General features: G+C 38.7%; 1 protein-coding gene across 1 annotated transcript in view; it reads right to left on the reverse strand.

Moving 5' to 3' along the window:
- Nucleotides 1–21025, reverse strand: part of CACUL1 (CDK2 associated cullin domain 1) — a 78560-nt gene that overhangs the window by 46890 nt on the left and 10645 nt on the right. Inside the window, exons 2-3 of the mRNA NM_153810.5 lie at nucleotides 6984–7110; nucleotides 5995–6097 (exon numbers count right to left, since the gene is read on the reverse strand). Of these exons, the coding sequence (NP_722517.3) occupies nucleotides 5995–6097; nucleotides 6984–7110 (230 nt within the window). The remainder of the gene's footprint in view (nucleotides 1–5994; nucleotides 6098–6983; nucleotides 7111–21025) is intronic.

Below are 21025 nucleotides of genomic sequence, written 5' to 3' on the forward strand. Positions count from 1 at the left end.
AAGTAGTGCTTTACCATTTCCTGGACAATGCAAGGCTTCAGAACATTTCAAACCTTCACTCCTCCCTTCAAACTTACACATTATTGTCACGAGTTTTGATTATATATATATATTCTTATATCCTAGAAGACATTATCATTATTATTGATCCACACTTGCATATTTTCCCTTCTTCATTCCTACATATCTTCAAGTTTTCATCTGGAAACATTTTCTTTCTATCTGAAAAACACTTTTATTTGTGTAAGAAACTACTGGTGATGAATTCTCCCAATTCTTGCCTAAAAATGTACTTCACAATTTTGCCTGGTTTGATGCCTCATTTCCTACTATGACTAGTTATTTCTGATTAAGTGCCAGATACTGCTTATGAAAAACTATGGAAACAATCTGATGCCTAGGATAATGGTATCTCTCCAGAATTTACTTTTGTTACTAGTAAGCTTAATCGAGGCTCTAGCAAATCAAGACCACCATTTTTTTTTCTTTTTGGGAGACGGAATCTCGCTCTGTCGCTCAGGCTGGAGTACAGTGGCACCACTGCAACTTCCGCCTCCCGGGTTCAAGCAATTCTCTGTCTCAGCCTCCTGAGCAGCTGAGATTATAGGCGCCCACCACCACACCCAGGTAATTTTTTTGTATTTGTAGTAGAGACAGGGTTTCACCATCTTGGCCAGGCTGGTCTTTAACTCCTGACCTTGTGATCTGCCCTCCTTGTCCTCCCAAAGTGCTGGGATTACAGGCATGAGCCACCACACCTGGCCGAATCAAGACCATCTTAATCCAATCAGGAATCAGGCTTTAGCAAATGAGAAGGCTAGTCTTTATTTTTTTATTCTTGCTAGTCCTGGGATGTGGTACTTCAGATTTAATGAGCCTTATACTCCAATTTATTACCCAACCCCCACAAGTGTTGTCAAAGCTCTATTAAATTTCTCAGCTCATTAGCCTCCTTTTCCAGAATAAATAGGTGACCCCAGTAGATAAATGGCTCAAATGTTAGGTTCCTCTATCTGAGTTTCCTTCTTCTCTTAGATCCTGGCCCTATAATTCACTTTGTTAGTCCTGTGGTCTGATTTTTGTAATTGCTCTCAGCAGGGGGGGTGGTCCACACTATCTAGTCTTATCAATTATATGTCCACTACCAGACCCAGTAGAGTCATAGTTAAATAGGATACGTTAGGGTTCCCACTAGGAACCCCTGCAACCAATAAAACCACTCAAGTTTTTTTTACACGGACCAAAAAATCAGCTGTGATTAATTAAGGAAAGCAATAAATAGTATTTTAGATTTTTGAACAAGAAAGTATGTCTATCAAATTAGGGTTTTTAGGTTGTTCAGCCAAAAGAAGAGACTGCAGGAAGACAAACCAATTAAAAGAATATTCCACTAGTGCAGGCATGAGCCAATGATGACGTGGAAGAGGAAGACAACAATGGGAATCAAAGAGGACAGAGCAAGATATATTATAGTATTCCATCCACCTTAACTAGCACCCAGAAATAGGAGAGAAAAAGCTAAGAGGAATATGAAATACCAAGCCTCAGAAAGAAACTAATTTGAATGAAGAGAAATTTAGATTTAGACCTCAGTATGAGGTATCTATAAGATGAAATTCAAATCCAACAGGCAAGTGTAGGTCCTAATGTTAGGGTCCTGGTCTCTCACAAAAAATATGGTAATTTCTAAATGTTTCCATAGAATTTTCCAAAACTATTCAGAATATTATTTACTGAATTGGTAAACCAATTTACTCTCTATAGTCATCTATTTCCATTCACTGGTATAGGAAAATACCAGAATTGGAAATGTACATTTTGAGGCTCTGGAGATACAGAAAAATAAAAATAAATAGAACTTCGTTATTACTTTTAAAGAAAGAACAGCCGGGAGTGGTGTCCCATGTCTGTAATACCAGCACTTTGGGAGGCCAAGGCAGGAAGATCACTTGAGTCCAGAAGTTCAACACCAGCCTGGGCAACATGGTAAAACCCCACCTCTACAAGAAATACAAAAATTAGCTAGGCATGGTGGTGCACACCTGTAGTCCCAGCTACTTGGGGTGCTGAGGCCGGAGGATCATTTGAGCCCAGGAGGTCAAGGCTGCAGTGAGCCAGCATCACACCACTGCACTCTAGTCTAGGTAACAGACTGAGACACTGTCTCATAAATAAATAAGAAGAGCGGAGTTAATAAGGACGAGAAAAGAGCCTGGTTTAAAAAAATTAAGGCAAAAGATACTGTTCACAATTTTGAACAATCCAGCAGTAAGTTAAAATGTATAGATACACATGCAGTGAAATATAATAGTAAGGAGAACACTAAGGGGACTTAGCTATTTGTTTTATTAGTTTAACAACACAACAAAAAAAACTTTAAAGTGCCTGAAGTAAAGTAATTTTTTCCAAAATGAAAGAAATGTGTTTAAAAACAAAAAAGAGGCAGCAAGTTAGATTATGCTGTCATGTAAAAAATATTTACATTCAACAAATTATTCTAAAATCTCTAAAAACCATGTTCTCTAGTTTTTACGTCAACACCAAAAATAACTGGAGAATATGGGAACATTATTTTATATACTCTTCAATCTCCCCAACAGGATATGCCTTGGGATAAAAATAAATAAGTCCCTCTGACATATAAACTATACAAACCCACAGCTATTTTAAGATGCCCTTGACTGAGGCTGACGCCCTGTAGGTCCAAATCATTGATTTATCAACTCCAGCACTAAATTTCTGATTATCTGCCAAATGCAACTCCTCCCACGCTCTTATTTTGGCTCATAACAACAATATTTCATTATGAAAACCAGAGCTGCAAACAAAATGCTCCATCCAAATAAAATGTTTCTGGCTCATAAAGCCTGGCACCGTCTCTTGATCTGTCCCCATGAAAACTGCCTTAAGGTCTCTATAAAATAAAGATTACATCAGGCCACACACATCACACTGAACAAATAAATAAAATGCTTACAAATCTAGAGAGCACAGGAGTAGTGGTCATCTGAAGCTAATTATGCTACTCTTTCCATTAGTACAGGTCACATTTAGTTACTCAGCATTCAGCCAGAACACATCTGCTGAGTTGTAATTGTGGCAGACACTAAGGATAAAAAGACAAACACGATAGAGTCCCTCCCCCTCAAGGAAGGGCCTGTGAAGTAGTCAGACAGGGAAGCAGAAACAATAACACAATCACTGCCCTAATAGACTTCTTATTGCTGAGATGCTATGGATCCACAGAAGAAATGCCAATAGTCTGTTCGGTTTTGAGAGGAGTGCAGGAGTTCCAGGAAGGCTTTACACAGATGGACACAAATGAGCTTAAGCCTAAGAAAAGAATGAAGAAGCATTTGCCAGGCAGGAAGCAGAAGAAAAAATACCTTACACCTTAGTGTAAAGAACTACAGATATTTTAGTAAATCTACTTCCTTTTGATGTCGAGAAAATACCTTACACCTTAGTGTGAAGCAACGAGATAGTCTAGTAAATCTACTTCATTTTAATGTCAAGAAAATTTATAAGATGATATATATTAGCACGTTTAATAAAGAGGCAAACACACAAATGCTGAGTGACAGAGCTGGAAACAGAGCCCTGGATCCCCATGTTTTAAACCACTCCCCGCTGCTATTTAATAATGGTTACAATCGTTATAATCTTATAAAAGGAATCATTTTGAAGCTAGACTTTTCATAAGACCATATTGCTGAACTCTAAGTGGGACATGTATTGATTCTAAAAACAAACTAAATTCCCTGGTTTTATATCATATATCACCCTTTTAAAAAATACTAACATCACGCTGGGCACAGTGGTTCACACCTGTAATCCTAGTACTTTGGGAGGCCGAGGCTGGCAGATCGCTTGAGTCCAGGAGTTTGAGACCAGCATGAGCAACACGGCAAAACCCCATCTCTAAAGCAAAAAACATAAAAAATTTGCCAGGCATGGTGGCATGCACCTGTAGTGCCAGCAACTGGGGAGGCTGGGGTGGGAGGATCGCCTGAGCCCAGGGAGGTCAAAGCTGCAGTAAGCCATGATTGTACCACTGCACTCCAGCCTGGGAGACAGAGCGAGACCCCCATCTCAAAAAAATTAAAAAAAAAAAAAACACTAACATCAGAAGAAATATCACTCTGATTTATGTTTTAATCATTAATAAGAATCATTACTATATTAATATAAAACTAAAAATTATTTGGTTTCATAATAGGCTGTATTAGTAGGGTGAGGGAAAACAGACACTGTGATATATACAGAACTGATGGGAATGCAACTTGATACAACTTCTGTGAACCACAATTTAGACTTAGTAAACGACATTACTTACAAGACTGACTATTCACTTCAGCACTGTTAGTAATGGCCAAAGACTGGAAGTAACCTAAATATTCATCAATCAAAAACTGGTTAAATTAAGGTGTATCAATGAAGTAAGGCAGTTGAGATAAGCATTTCAGTAAAACAGTCGAGAAATGATGATGAACCTGACTAGGGTACTGGCAAATGAACAGAAGTGTGTGACAGAGTCCACAGCGAGACCCGAAGTCCATAAACTGGATTCAGGTAGAAATTCAGGTAGATGGTGGAGTGAAGAATTAGAAAGCAAATCACTCAAAAGCTATAAAGCATAGATCTAGGGTTTCATCAACAATTTATACACAATGCCTAAGCACTAAACATATGTGTTAAATGAATAAAGATTTTATAGTTAGCGGCAAAAAGATGAAGAAAGAAATTTATACTAACAACAAGAAAAGTATATATCTGACTATGACAAAACACAGCTCTATCATTTGAAACAGAAAACAAAATGCTACTTAGTGCAACAACTGTTTGGGGAAAAAAAACACAAAAAAACTAAGCTATCTCAGACCACAAGTTGTGAAGAACAATATCCAAGCCCAAAGCACACCCCAGCATGTGCTATAAACTGTGGTTATTTCAAAACTGCTGGGGTGCTTCCTAATTGTGGTATAGACCCTGGTAATCTATTGCTGAGTGACTTTTCTTTTTTTTTTTTTTTGAGACGGAGTCTTGCTCTGTCGCCAGGCTGGAGTGCAGCGACGCAATCTCGGCCAACTGCAACCTCCGCCTCCCGGGTTCAAGCGATTTCCCTGCCTCAGTCTCCTGAGTAGCTGGGACTACAGGAGTGTGCAATTTTAGTAGAGACGGGGTTTCACCATGTTGGCCAGGATGGTCTCGATCTCCTGACTTCGTGATCTACCTGTCTCGGCCTCTCAAAGTGCTGGGATTGCTGAGTGATTTTTCTAGACATTCTTCTACTTCTATACCAAAAGCAAAGTGGGATCAAGCCCTGGTATAAAGATTATTTGGTTGGTGCAAAAGTAACAGAGGTTTCTGTCATTATTTTCAAAGGCAAAAACCACAATTCCTTTTGCACCAACTTAATAATACCTGATCTTCAAGCACTGAAGGTTTACTGAAGTGGGCAGGGGGAGGATCAAGCTAAGTGCTCCCTTAAACAGGAGTTTTTCTGCAACCTGCCCCAGATTTTAGAGCTGAGATGATGCCTATTTACAGGAGGTTTATCAATAAAGTGTTTACTTCAGTTGTTTATATTGAAAGGTATTATAAATCAGTAGGCAAACCACTCTTCAAAGATGATAATACGAGTTCCAAAACAAGTTAAAATATGCACATATTTTTGTATCATAAAAGTCACCAAATATTGACATTGACAGAAAAAAATAAAGTTTTAAATAAAAGAAATGTTGACATGATAATCAATAGAATCAGTTAAGGTCTGAAATATATTTAATCCAAAAATTTCCACAATTTATACCAAATTTTCAAATTAACAATCTATTCCAAAAATTACATGATTTGATCAACATTCACCTAGAAAACATTTATAAATTTATATCATAATCAAATTAACAAGCTTCCAAATGTGTATTAGAAAAGCTAACTGCAACCAGTCAGGAAAACCCAAGGAAGCAAAAATCAATACAATCAGTTCTTTACCTGCAGCTCCTTTGAGACTCTCTCTAAGTGATTAGTTATCTTTTTAATCAGATCACTATACATCTGTTCCGAGTGCTGCTGGCATACACATTTATACACACAACTGTAAAACAAACAAAAACCCCCACAAACCAAGTTAATCATAAAGCACTTAACTCAGTCCAAGGTTAAAGCACACTTTTGATATATAACCACTGATCCAATAATTCATACCTTCAAAAAGTAACCAATCACAACTTTTAAATAAAAACTTTATCCTCCCCCATCGGTGTTCGGATGGAAAAGATAGTACCATCTGCTATAAATATGCCCTTCTAAGTAGTGTATTACACATTTAATCAGTACTAGAGAATCTAATAGTAGGTGAGAATCTAAGGTCTGAATATGATAACTATTTATAAACCAGGTTCTCTCTCTCTTTTTAAATGAATGTCAAAATAAGGAAGAGAGAGTGGTTGATAATCAGTAGAGAGAGGTTTCTAACTCACGGAAGTGTTTGCAATACAACCTCTTTGTACATCAGCTGTGTGGAACAACATACTTGTCACTTCCTCCTTTCACTGTGCTGATCTCATATCCCACCCCACTTCCTAATTTGCTGCTTCCATTAACAGGAGCTGAGAAACAAAATAACCAAAGAGAGTTAGAATTGTGTGTCAATAAACACCAACAGATTAAGGTCTCCCTCTGAGACTAAAAATATGATTTTTACACCAGATACTTCAGTCATTCTTGCTTTTATTGCTGACTTCCACAGTGTCTGCATTATGTATGGTGGAGGTGGCAGGCTTCCTCTGTCATGATCTGAAAACCACTTTTGAATCAAAAAGTATAAACCAAACCCTCCAATCCGTAAGTGTGGAATACATAAAACACTTACAGAGCCTCATCTTATGCATTCTACATTACATGTTTGTGTGAGGCATAATTCAAGTGCCTTGAACCTTAGTATACCCTTTCAAACCCAAGCAAATTAAATCTTAACTTACCTGTATATCTGTTCATAGGATATGGGGATATAGTCACCAGGACTCTGAGTTAAAAGTTGATCTATGGCACCATCCAATTTTGGCCAGTATGTGCTCTTATAATCTTCAATAGTTATAACATTCATTACTAAAAGTAAAAAGTAAAATAAATATTACTACGTGCCACATGTGGAGCAAACACAAATCACAGCCATTTTGCACTCTCAAATTCCTCTCACTTACTCTTCTGATTTTACACTGACACTCTATCACCTAACTATCCTATTTCAATTAAAAACAAAAAAGGCAACCTGGTCAAGGATGTTAAGCAGCCATTAATCATGGATTTAAGAGAAGTTAGTATGAACCTGTCCATCTTTAAAAATAACAACCAAACAAGCAATCATCACTGGCTTCCTTCTGGGTTTCCTGTAAGCTTCTGTCATTAGTGGAGCAGTCTCAAACATGCTCTGACCCTCAAATACACACTGCCAATTATGTGACAAAATGGCCTATCAATGAACCACAGGAAAATTTGGAGAAATCGTGAACACCAACAATCAATCTTTGTAGACATCCTCGAGGAAATGTGCCTAAGGACAGGACTATGAGGATTAAGGTCCAAATGCTGCAATCACAAAGAGGTTGCTGTAAAACTTGCCGAGATTTACAACAACACCAGCACCTCTTCATCATTACTACAGCTCCAACTCAGGCTGCTACTATCTTAAACTGGATAAGCCCAACAGAAAAGAAGTCAGTGAACTGGGACCCTGCGCTGAGGCTTACTTCATTCCTACAGACAGGCTCTTACTCCCACACTACAGGTTTCCACAAAGCATTTGTACAGTGGATCCTAACAGCTTTGAAATCCAGGTAACAGTTGCTTCACGGCACTGAAATGTTAATATTAAAAAAAGAGCTACCAGAAGAACCTGCCTATATTCTGTGTCATGAATCACAGTTACCTCAGGAGTAACAACAACGAGACCAGGTATTTCACTGTTTATTTTACCAGACTAGGAAGCAGAGTGGTTAAGTGACTTCCTCAAGAACTCAAGGCTCATTACTGTCAGAGATACCAGGTAAAGCAAAGCCTTCCCAGTATCTTTTTATCACATTATCGATTTCCACACCTTAGTCATCCAGGTTCAAGATTTTTTTCTATGTACCATCTATATCATTTTTGTTCAATACTTTCTTTAAATCAATCCACTTCTGTTATTTAATTTTATTTTACAGGACATCTGAGGAATGAACTACTGAGGAATGTTCACAAAACAACATGGCATAATCTTAAATCCATTTTGCTAAGTGAAAGAAGCCAGACCCAAAGGGCTACATATTCTAAGAGTCCCATTTACATGATACTAATAAAGGCAAAACTATAGGGAGGAAAACAGATCAGTGGTCGACAGGGGCTGGAAGGTGGGGAGAAGGATTATCTATAAAGCAGTAGCATGGAGGAATTTTTATGGCAATTAACTGTTTTGCATGAAACTATGGTGGGGGATACACCACTTCACGCATTTGTCAAGACCAAAAGAACTGTACATCAAATTACTATGTAAATTTAAAAAATCAACAAGGCTGTAGTGGTAAAGATGAAATGCAAAACACAAAAAATGAACCGAATTACAAATGAATCACATAACCCACACTGAATGGAATGGGGAATAAAGGAGTGTTTTGACTAATGTAAAGCTAAAGACAAAAAGAACCGTACATGCACGTGCGCAAACATAACAGTAGGAAGAGGCCAGACATGTAGGTCCTTATGGGCCATTGTAAAGACTTTGACTTTTACTCTAAGGTGGAAGCCTCTCTGGAGGGTTTTGAGCAGAGGAGTGACATGATCTGGCTTAGGTTTTATATGGATCATTCCAGCAGCTGTGCTGAGGGTAAACTAAGTTTGGAGGCTGTGAGCTGATATGGGGTTGGGCCAGATGGTGGCACTGAGGACAATAAGGAGAGATCAGATTTTGAAGATATTTTAAAAACAGAGTCAACAAGATTTGCTGATAGATTAGATGTGAGATGTGAAAGAAAGGTCGAGTGGCTCCAAAGTTTTTGGCTTCAGCACCGAAGGATGGGGTTGTCGTTTACTAAAATGAGGAAGACTGCACGAAAAGCTTAGCTGTCCAGCGGGCATAGCAGATACTGTTGGTGCCCCACCCATTTACCCCATCCACACCCTACGACTACTTCTCTCAATGTTCTGTCCAGCTGCCAGAGCTTGCTCTGCTTGCGGGAGGAGCAGGTAAGAAATTGTGGGAGAATTAACCCCAAAGCAGCCTTCAACCAATGACTACTGAGGATTCAGTGTCATTACCACCAGTAGCTCCCTCTCCTTTTGGGTGAGGCGACTCTAAGGCCCCTGTGCTATACTGACTCCCAGAGCTCCCCACTGGTACTAAGCTCCAGCTGCCTACAGTGGTGACTTTACCTTACTGGCTTCCTTACCTTCCCTGCCTCACTTCCCCAATCCCCCTAGAGCTGCTTCCCAGGGTCACCGTCTTGCTCTTGATACTGAAAAGTGTTACACACTAGGCTCTAGAATATGACCTTTGTATTTATGTAATCCTTAGGATTCAAAGAAAACTGAAAAAGAAATTACATTCTCACTGTGTGATTCTGAGTTACAGAATCCCTTATCAGTGTACCACCTAAACCACATGAAATACCTCTCTACACCGAAAGTTGAGAGTTGAAGGTTAGATAACACGCTCAAAAAGAAAACTGCAAGTAGTAACACCAGTAATTAACATACCTATCTTCTGGGCTCCTAAAATGCTTAGTTCAATAAACCACATGCTATGGCTCCAGCTGGGAGCACTCCTACTTCTCAAGCACAGGCTTCGCACTTTAGCAAATCACCAAGTCAAAGATATGAAGAAGAGGAAAAAGAAACCAAAATGTAAAGTCCTGCAGTTCTAAGTACAGAATGGGGACTCACTACAGAAACAGTGACTGCTGATGCTTTTAAATATCTTTGAAAAGAGACTTAAAAACCAAATTGAAAAAGGCATGTGTCACAGTAGAGAATCTTAAACCCTATTTCCACACACAAAAAAAAAAGCAGTTTCTATTTCCACACGTATTATTTATTATATACAATATACATCTATGTTACCTGAATAGTAAATAGAAAGCCAATTCAGTAACCTTATATGCTAGCTAACATAACTTTCTTCCCAGGAAGGTTCTTCATAACCATCTGCAGTCAACACTTAAAATGACAATCCAGGAAACTTCAAGATATTTGTTATTTACTTGCTTATCTCAACGCAATCCTTGGTTTAAAAAACAAAAACTCCTAGCTATTTGTTCAGTTTAACATCTGACACATATAGCCTCAGAGTGTGTGTGTAATCTTGAACTTAAAAACTAGATCCTCTTGTTAAGAGATATGTAATCACTTTCAACTTTGCCCATAGAAAAGCTTACACTCACCAAAAGAAAAAGTAGGCCAGGCGCACTGGCTCATGCCTGTAATCCCAGCACTTTGGGAGACCGAGGCGAGAGCACCGCCTGAGCCCAGAAGTTCAAGACTACACTGGGAAACATGGTAAGACCTTACCTCTACAAAAACTTAAAAAAAAAAATTAGCCGAGCGTGGTGATGCACACCTGTGGTCTCAGCTACTCGGGAGGCTGAGGCAGGAGGATCTTTCAAGCCCAAAGGTCAAGGTTGCAGTGAGCCATGTTCATAACCCTGTACTCCAGTCTGGACAACAAAGCAAGACTGTCTCAAAAACAAAACAAAACACAAAAGAGTAGCCAAAATTCATGCTATGTGTAGAAGATAGCTGATTTACTACTTTAAAATGAGAATGCTAAGATCAGAGCAGCATGACAGGATCTTAGGAGATCTGCAAGGCTGCCTATTTAGACAATACTTTTCAACTTTTTATTTCTTGATTTCTACAGTTCAGTATGAAGCCTGCATTAGAAAATACATAAGCAAAAGGAGGAAATAAAAATCACTCATAATTTCACCACCAGTATATTGCGGCTGTGCCAGTGTACTGTGCCAGTCTTTTCAATGTATATTATACGTGGCTAAAGAGTATATACAGACTTCCAATGAGGTAAAGAATTCCTTGAATTTTACTTTTTAGATAATTAACTAAATTCCTTTTCTGTATGTAATGAGCAATATCAGCAAGTAAGAGCCAAAATTAAAGTATGAAACCTAAACAAAAGTAAGTTACCATTAAATTACTAAACTTCATCTAGGTTAGATTTTCAGCTTGAAAATAATGAACTACTTTTTATGCTATTTAAAGAAGGCACTACAGGCACAAATACCTACAGGAGCCACGCTAATAACATACATAAGTAAAGCAGGCCTGGTGCAAGAATAAGAAAAGTGGTGAGGGCTTTATTGAACAGCAGAATGTGTGTTGCCCTCTAGAGGCACAGAGGTTCAAGAAATTTTAAAACACTTACTAAAAAAATGTAAAAACATCATGCCGCAAGGCTTAAACCTAGAAACACATATTTTTAAGATAATAAGCTCACACAGTCTAAATCCCACTGAGAAAGTAGTTTAACTGACCTTTACTAAGATAAAATGAAACAAAGTCTGAAACACATGGAATAGCTGGAATCTTCATTCAGGAAATATTATCAGGTTGCTGATAAACAGGAAACCATTAGAGGTCTATAATTCATACCAGGCAAGAATAAATATGTTCAACTCTCACACTTTTTTAATCCAAATAACTTGACATATTATTTGTTTATTGTCAATCTCCCTCAAACTAGACGTTAAGCCCCATGGAGAAGGAATTCACTGCTAGAGCCCCAACTCTAAACAGTATATGACACATGGTAGGTACCCAGTAACATCTGTAAAGCGAATTAACTTCGTGAGTCAAAATAAATGCTGAACAGAAAAACAGTGAAAGATATACTACTTATTAGCTGTTTTGCAATTAAAGCTTAAATTACATTTGATTTCACATAGGCTAAAGCAAACCAGGTTAGCCCTACTATATAATCCTTTTAAGGGTTTTTTTGTTTATAAGGGAAGAATAAATTCAGGAATTATAGTAAGCATTATGAATTCATACTTGGTCTACTGCAGAGACTGATCATTACTTTCTATCAGTGCCTCAAAAGTGTGAGATCCAGAGCAGCAGCAGCAGCATCACCTGGAAACTTGTTGCAAATGCAAACTGTCAGGCCCCAACACAGACCTGCTGAATCAGAAATTCTAGGGGTGGGTGGAACCCAGGAAGCTGTTTAACAAGCCCTCCAGATAATTCTTACGCCTGTTAAAGTTTGAAAACCACTCTAATGCTTCAGCAGCCCTGGACAGCCAGGGTTCACTTAGGTGTTCCTCTTTCCTCAATTGCTAATATATGGCTTGTCTGTTCTCAACACCTTGGAGAGTCAAATAAAGGTGTGAATATATCAAACAAAATGTTAAAAAGGTAGCTAGGAACTGTCTTCCTACCAAAGATTCACTAAAATTCTTCTCTTCCATATCCCTTCTTCCCACCAAAAAAGCCACCTTCATTTAGAATAGACTCTTTAAGAATGTAGTAATGGCAATTATAAAATAAATAATTAAGCCAAATTTAAAAGGCTAAATTATGAATGACTTTTTAATTAATTGCAACTAGATAATCAGAACAGACAAGGAGAAAAGAGCCCTTTGTTACCTGTTTAACTCGAGCTAGTTAATGTATGCTATCTAAAAGAAAAATGATGACTTTTTGTCACTAGAGTATGCTCATCTGTGAATAACAATCTAATAAATCTGCCTGAATGTTCCAGCAAAATGTTCTGCTCCCTCCAGCACAGGGGGACGACTGAACTCTTCCAAGTGTTGGACTCAGAGCAGCTGAAGGCCAAGAACATAACCTGAGGAATGGAAGGGAAGCCCTTGTAGATAAAGAAGAGGAATGGTCATAGAAAGTATAAGAAGTAAAAGCCATACAGAAATTTTTTTAAACAGAAAAAATTTTATCAGGATAAGAAAATATTTTTGTATAGTTGTACTGTGTTTATGTTTTAAGCTAAGAGTTATTACAGAGAAGCCGAAAAGTTTTTTAAAACTTAAAAAGTTTATAAAGTAAAAAAGTTACAGGAAGCTAAGGTTGATTTATTATTTATAATTTTTTTTTTTTGAGACAGGGTCTCTCACTCTGTCACCCAGGCTGGAGTACAGTGGTGCAATCTCAGCTCACTGCAACCTCTCCCTCTGGGGCTCAAGTGATCCTCCCAACTCAACCTCCAGAGTAGCTGGGACTACAGATGAGGTTTTGCCATGTTCCCCAGGCTGGTCTTAAAACTCCTGGGCTCAAGTGATCTGCCTGTCTTGGCCTCCCGAAGTGCTGGGATTACACACGTGAGCCACAGCATCTGGCCAGAAGCAATTTTTAAATAAATTTAGTAAAACCTAAGTGTACAATGTTTTTAAAGTCTAGAGCAATATACAGAAAGGCCTTCACTTTCACTCATGCCACTCACCCACACAACTTCCAGTCTTGGAAGTTCCAATCATGATAGGTGCCCTATACACGCATACCATTTTTTTTATCTTTTATACCATGCTTTTACTGTACCTTTTCTATGTTTAAATACACAAATACCATTATGTTACAGTTGCATACAGTATTCAGTACAGTAGCATGTTGTACATATCATACAGGTTTGTAGCCTAAAAGCAATAGGCTATATCTTATATAGCTTAAGTGTGTAGTGGGCTTATACCACCTAGGTTTGTGTAAGTATACCCTATGATGTTCCCACAGTGTACAAAATCGCCTAACAAAACAATTCTCAGAATTCTCAGAATGTATCCCTGTTGTTAAGCAAAGCATGACAGTACTTTAACATATCTGTTCCTTATTAGGAGGGAAAAAAAAAAAAAAAAACCTGTATCATCTACTCAGGTATATTTTGATTTGCCAGTACAAGAGGGCAGCAATTATTTCTAAAGTAGGTTAAAGCCTCTTAAAAGTTGTGTGCTTTAGGTATTTGTTTGGGAAGTTTCTAAATTTTAGGGTTTATGGTTTGCATAATTCAATTTAAACACTATGGACAATTTAAAATGTCTACTGTGATCATGAGTTAGTCATTCCTCAGTATATTCATTACATTCAGATGACAACAACCAGATGACACTGATGTCTTATTTTTATTTTATCTAAGTTCTCATTAACACACTCTTTAAGGGTTCTATGCTCCCTACCCCATAACAAGACAACATTTTGGTCCAGATAAGCCTTATAACATACCAGCCGTATAAAACCTCCTTTGCCTTGCTTCAAATGAAGTGCCTCGTCCCCCAAAACACTGTAAAACTTGTAGAGCAAACACACAGTTACTGTTTTACTGCTTAGAAATCTACACATTTTTCAATTAGAGGAAATGTAATAAAATAGTAGAAACCTCCTTCATCACTACTATCTTAAAAAAAAAAAAAAAAACCTAGCTGTAGTGGCCTACCAGCAGATTGAGATCTATGTTCCTTTAGAATAGTTACTATACAACACTGTTCTACCATTACAACATCACATAGGAGCCTGTGACACAGTTCCTAAAATGGACATGTTATGACATACATGCATACACGAAAAGTTCAAGAGCTATCAAGACATCCATTTTAGCTCCAACTCCACCTAATCCAAAATCTCATAAAATTCAAAGTACTCAAAATTCAAAACAGAAAAGTATCTGCTCAACTGAGATTACATAGGTGTAAACTATGCTAACTGCAGGTCTATGACAGTTTTAAAATTTCATGGTGTCTTCCAAGATTTAAATAAGTCAATCTCTCCTTGGCATTAAGCCCAGTAGAGTCTGAACCTTGAAGCAGTAGCTTGAAGCAGGTGCTGAGGTGGATACCAATGGTGGGTAAACAAACCTTGCCCTGTAGGCCCCTGAGAAGATCAGGACTTGAGGACATAATACTATGAACAGGCATTTTTGGAAATGGGTGGAAGATGCAATAGAAAAGTCTGCAGACTCAACGGTAAAAAGAACCGAGAAGGATTATTCTGTGGAGAAACTGAGAGACAAAGGCTTAGAACTCTGAGACCTAGAAACATTCAGGGCAGGACTGTGAGGGAGTGAGAAGCACAGAACTGGCAGATTAAGCAGAAGTCAGCGTAAGAAATGCTCAAACATCTAGACCCACTCCTTTCATTCCAGAATGCTACGCGCCAGGAAAAATATGCTTTATTCCCCACCCCTACCCCCACCCCCACCTATCCATTCTGCCATTCTCTCAGAATGGAAGATCCTTCTCTAGAGAAACTAAACAGTCCCAGAGAAAAGACATTCACATACTAATATCTGGCAGTTCCTCAACAAAATAGCAGCTCTGCATTCAATCAACCTAACATGAAGCCCAATACTTAAATATGACAAGGCCCATTATAAACACAGAGCTAGCAATTATCTTTTTTCACTTTTAAATATGGATAGACAACTAAGAATCACCAAAGATTTGTAGAAAGTCTCAGACAAGAGAGATCAAAACAAATTTGAAAAGCTAAAAACAAAGATAATCCAGAGAATAGAACTTGTTTAAAAACTATAATTACTATCTTCAGAAAGGTAAGATAAAAATTAAAAACAGTGTCATAAAAAAGAAGTAATCCAAGTGCTCTTAAAAAAAAAAAAAAAAAAAAAAAGCCTGGGCGCTGTGGTTCACGCCTGTAATCCCAGCACTTTTGGAGGCCAAGGCAGGCGGATCACGAGGTCAGGAGATAGAGTCTCCTGGCTAACACGGTGAAACCTGGTCTGTACTAAAAATACAAAAAAAATAGCTGGGCATGGTGGCGGGCACCTGTATTCCCAGCTACTCGGGAGGCTGAGGCAAGAGAATGGTGTGAACCCGGGAGGTGGAGCTTGCAGTGAGCCGAGATCATGCCACTGCACTCCAGCCTGGGTGACAGAGACTCCTCCGTCTCAAAAAAAAAAAAAGGTCAGTGTTAAAAATACAACATCAAGGAAATCTCCCAGAGCTTGATGAGAAAGGGGATGTAGCAAAATGCAGTTAACAGACTTAGAAGATCAAAACAGAAATTCAACATTTGACTACCAATAATTCCAGAGAAAACAGAACAGAGAAAATGTAAAGGGAGAGAAATATTAACACATTAATATAAAAAAAAGAACTAAGAAATTTTCTCAAGGGGAAAAAACGAATGGCACCTGACTTCTCCATTTTAATATGCGTGCTTAAAGTTAATGAAGCAATACTTTTAAAATGCCAAGGAAAAGTTATTTTCCGTTAAGAATTCTATACCCAAACTATCAATCAAGTGTGAAAGCAGCATTTTTAGATATGCCAAGACCTGAAACTTTATCCACACACTCTCAGGAAATGACTAGAAGATATGCTCTATATACATACTCAGAAATTCATCAATAAAAAGGAAGACAAGCAATCATTCCAAGTATCTGGGAAGTCCCTGAGTGGCAACTATGCACTGGCCCTAAGCAATAAACAGAAACAAGAGGACTAACAGCTTCACAGACAAAAACAAAAGCTGATTTGTTTGAGCATTTCAAAAACACCAGTGACAGGTACATGGCGAATCTAACAAAGCTGTTGAAAAGTTTTAAGAGTATGTTTGGCTGGGTGCGGTGGCTCATGCCTATAATCCCAGCGCTTTGGGAAGCCCAGGCAGATGGATCACCTGAGGTCAGGAGTTAGAGACCAGCCTGGCCAACATGGTGAAACCCCGTCTCTACTAAAAGTACAAAAAAATTAGCTGGGTGTGGTGGCATGCGCCTATAATCCCAGCTACTCAGGAGACTGAGGTGGGAGGATCGCTTGAACTTGGGAGGCGGAGGTTGTAGTGATCTGAGATCACACCACTGCACTCCAGCCTGGGCGACAGAGCGGGACTCTGTCTCAGAAAACAAACAAACAAACAAAAAGAGTAAGTTCAACAAAAATTCTGCCAATACAAACAAGGCAACTAACAACAACATTCTATGTAAAATAAAATGTAATCTCAGTACACTTTAGGCCCTTCCGTGAATATTTACATAGCTATAATGTAAATATGGCTTACTGATTAAAACCACAAATTGTGGCCGTTTGCAGTGGCTCACACCTGTAATCCCAGCACTTTGGGAGGCCAACTCAGGCAGATGGCTTGAGGCCAGGAGTTCAAGACCAGCCTGGTCAACATGGCAAAACCCCATCTCTACTAAAAATACAAAAATTAGCCAGGCATGGTGGCACATGACTGTAATCCCAGCTACTCAGGAAGCTGAGGTACAAGAATTTCTTGAACCCAGGAGGCAGAGACTACAGTGAGCCGAGATCACGCCACTGCACTCCAGCCTGGGAGACAGAGTGAGTCTCTGTCTCAAAATAAATAAAAATTTTTTTAAAACTGTGATAGTGGCCAGGCACGGCAGCTCACGCCTGTAATCCCAGCACTTTAGGAGGCTGAGGCGGGCAGATCATGAGGTCAGGAGATCGAGACCATCCTGGCTAACACGGTGAAACCCCGTCTCTACTAAAAATACAAAAAATTAGCCGGGCGTGGTGGCAGGCGCCTGTAGTCCTAGCTACTCAGGAGGCTGAGGCAGGAGAATAGCGTGAACCCGGGAGACGGAGCTTGCAGTGAGCCAAGATCGCGCCACCGCACTCCAGCCTGGGCGACAGTGTGAGATTCCATCTCAAAAAAAAAAAAAACAAACAAAACTGTGATAGTAAAAAAATTAGAAAGGTAAGGTATGTTAGAGGTATAAGAGAATTAAATCCTGGAAGTCAACAGGTAATATAAAAATGATAAATTAAGCAGTAACAATATCACCACATTGAAATGTGTGGCTAATACCAGAAGAAACAGCTAAATGAATCGTAATTAAATGACTGACTTTGAGTAACGGGTCCAGGAATGGGAAGGGGTAGGGAAAGGAACCACTGATTTTATGTGTCTTTTTGCATAATTTGAGTTTTAAAATTATAAACCTGTATTACTTTAATAAGAGCAAAGTACTGTTTTTGTTTTTTAAGTACGAAGAGTTTGGCGAATCTCAAATCCTCGGAAATGGAAAAGCAAATCTATTGAAATTAAATTTTTGTTTCAGGGTAAAATTTTGCTTCAGAATATCTCCAATATTCTAAGGCACAGGAAATGAGAAAATGCAGAATTTACCAACTGCTTCTGGACCTCTCTACCTGACTGTTCCATAGACACCTTAAAAGAGACAGACAGACACACACACACACACACCCCCTCACTTCACACCTTTATACCTTCCACGTCTGGGTCAAAGGCACTGACAGCTACCCGTCATCCAAACCAGCAATCTTTAATCTTCATCTTCCTTTCCTCACCCCCAAAATTTTGTAGATTCTAGTCCCTAAATATCTCCAAATTGAAACCTCTTATCTTTTAAAATTGTATTTGTTCAATCTCCATCTCTTGTCTAGATTACAGAAATTGTAACACCCTAACTAGCCCCTAGACCTCCACTCTCTATCCGCTCTAAATTAACACACTAAGACAAATGTCTCCCTTAAAACCTCCCATTACTACAGAAGAAAATCCTTCCACTAACATGGTCCTTCACTATCTAGCCCTTTCTATCTATCCATGTTTAACATGAGCCAGTCTCTCCTCCTACTCTGTATTCCAAAAATAATTTCAATTCTGGGTCTTTGGCACAGGCTGCCCCTCTGCAAGGAAGTCTCTTCCAGTCCAGCTTCCCCATCCCCACCCCCTATCCTCCTGGCCAACTTCTATTCATTTTTATAAAGACTCTCTTTCCTGAATGCTACCAAATACATAGCTTTATTATAGCATTTAATCATAATGTATCATAATTACCTTTCTATCACCTCCCACATTCAACTGTGTCTCTTCATTACCAGAGGCTAAAATATTACTTTGGCACACAATAAACACTTAATAAAATGCCATTCAGATGATGAATCAGCATACCTGCAACTACATATTACACATCTATCCAACTTTATCTTTAGAGGTTAATAACCGAATGTCCACAAAAGCAGGAAGAAAAAATGGAAAGCCAGCTTGCCCTGTCAAGACATACCATAAAAGGATATTAACAATCAACCTTTATATAGTGCTTAACAGTTTACAATGTGAATACATATGGTCTACGGTTTACAGAGTTTACAGTAAATAAACAGTATTCATTTTCTTTAGAGATTTGGGACTGGGCCTTAAGTAAACATTAAAATGCCTTTCTCTTACAGTTTCATCAACAACATTTTATATGATGCAGGTCAAAAAATAGCAAGACAAGATCCCCAATAAGATCCTGAAGTTCGGCCGGGAACAGAGGCTCACTCCTGTAATCCCAGCAGAAATGGGGCCAGTTTGGTGGAGTATGATCAATCTGAAAACCCTGACCTCACGAAACCCTGCTTACACACCCCCCTCCCAACATGAGACTAACTTTACTTGATTAAAGACCCTGCCATGATATTACCTGAAACCTCACAAAAAAGATTCTCTCTAAGCAGAACTCTAGTTAGAGTCTCTAGATCTCTAACTAGAATCAGATTTCCCAAGGGAACAAGTACCAAACCTAAATAAATAGGAGACAGCTTACATTCCAAAAGAACTATAAGACTTTAATACATTATACTGGCAGAAACTTGGGAATACATGTGGGAATGGATTGTGAGGGTGCTGAACAATGAAGAAAGAACTTTAGACGCAACAAGTCATTAAAAGGAATGCACTTACTAAAGATTCTTTATTCACTATACTACTTCAAGAAACTGGATACAGTTCTAACAGTTTGCTTGGTTAACTGAAACCTGGACTGTCAGCCTGCATTAAAAACAGTTGGAACTCTCACTGATTTAAGAGCAGGATTAACAGCAGATTAGATACTAAAAAAGAAAACATTAGTGAGCATGAAGACATAGCATTAAAACTTACCCAAACTAAAGCACAGAGAGTAAAAAAGAAAAAAAAAATCTTTAAAAAAATGAACAGAACCTCAGTGACTCATGGTACAATAACAAGTGTTATAACATATGTGTAACTAGTGGCAGGGGGGTTCTGACAAAAAATAATGAATAATTTTCCAAATTTGACAAATTCTAAAACCCCACAAATCCAAAAAATAAACACTAAAAAAGAACATAAAAAATTGCGGAAAACTTAAGTAAAAATTTTAAAAGTACCCAGGAAAAAAAGGGGCATATTATATATAGAGAAACAAAGATAAGACTATACACACATTTATTAAAGAAACAATAAGGCCGGGTGCAGTGGCTCACCTAAGGTCAGGAGTTCGAGACCAGCCTGGCCAACATGGTGAAACCCTGTCGCTACTAAAAATACAAAAATTAGCCGGCCATGGTGGCGTTTGCCTGTAGTCCTAGCTATTCAGGAGGCTGAGGCAGGAGAATCACTTGAACCCGGGAGGTGGAGGTTGCAGTGAGCTGAGATCGCGCCACTGCACTCCAGCCTGGGCAACAAGACGGAAACTCCGTCCCCAAAAAAAGGAAAAAAGAAACAATGCAGGTCAGAAGACAATGGAAAGACTCTTTAAAGTATTTATAGAAGAAAAAAAAAGGCTGTATATCTAGAATTCTATATCCAGCAAATATCCTTAGAAAATGAAGATAAAATAAAGATCTCTGCAGACAAAAGCTGAACAAATTGAAGGCCAACAGAACTACATTATAAGAAATATTAAAGGAAGTTCTAAAGAGGGAAGAAAAATAAGAGGTGGAAACTTCCATCTACACAAAGGAAAGAAGAGGGACAGAAATGATAACTATCTGGGTAAATACAAAACACTTACATTCCAGTTTATTATTATTTCAAAGAAATCTCAGTATGATTCCATTCATATGAAAGATCTGGAGGCCGGATGCGGTGGCTCACGCCTGTAATCCTAGCACTTTGGGAGGCCGAGGAGGGTGGATCACCTGAGGTCAGGAGTTTGAGACCACCCTGGCCAACATGGCAGAAACCCCGTCTCTACTAAAAATACGAAGTTAGCCGGGCATGGTGGCGCATGCTTGTAGTCCCAGCCACTCAGGAGGCTGGGGCAGGAGCATCGCTTGAGCCCGGGAGGTGGAGGTTG

The sequence above is a fragment of the Homo sapiens genome, chromosome 10 (genome assembly GCF_000001405.40).
Source record: "Homo sapiens chromosome 10, GRCh38.p14 Primary Assembly".
In the NCBI taxonomy this organism is placed as follows: domain Eukaryota; kingdom Metazoa; phylum Chordata; class Mammalia; order Primates; family Hominidae; genus Homo; species Homo sapiens.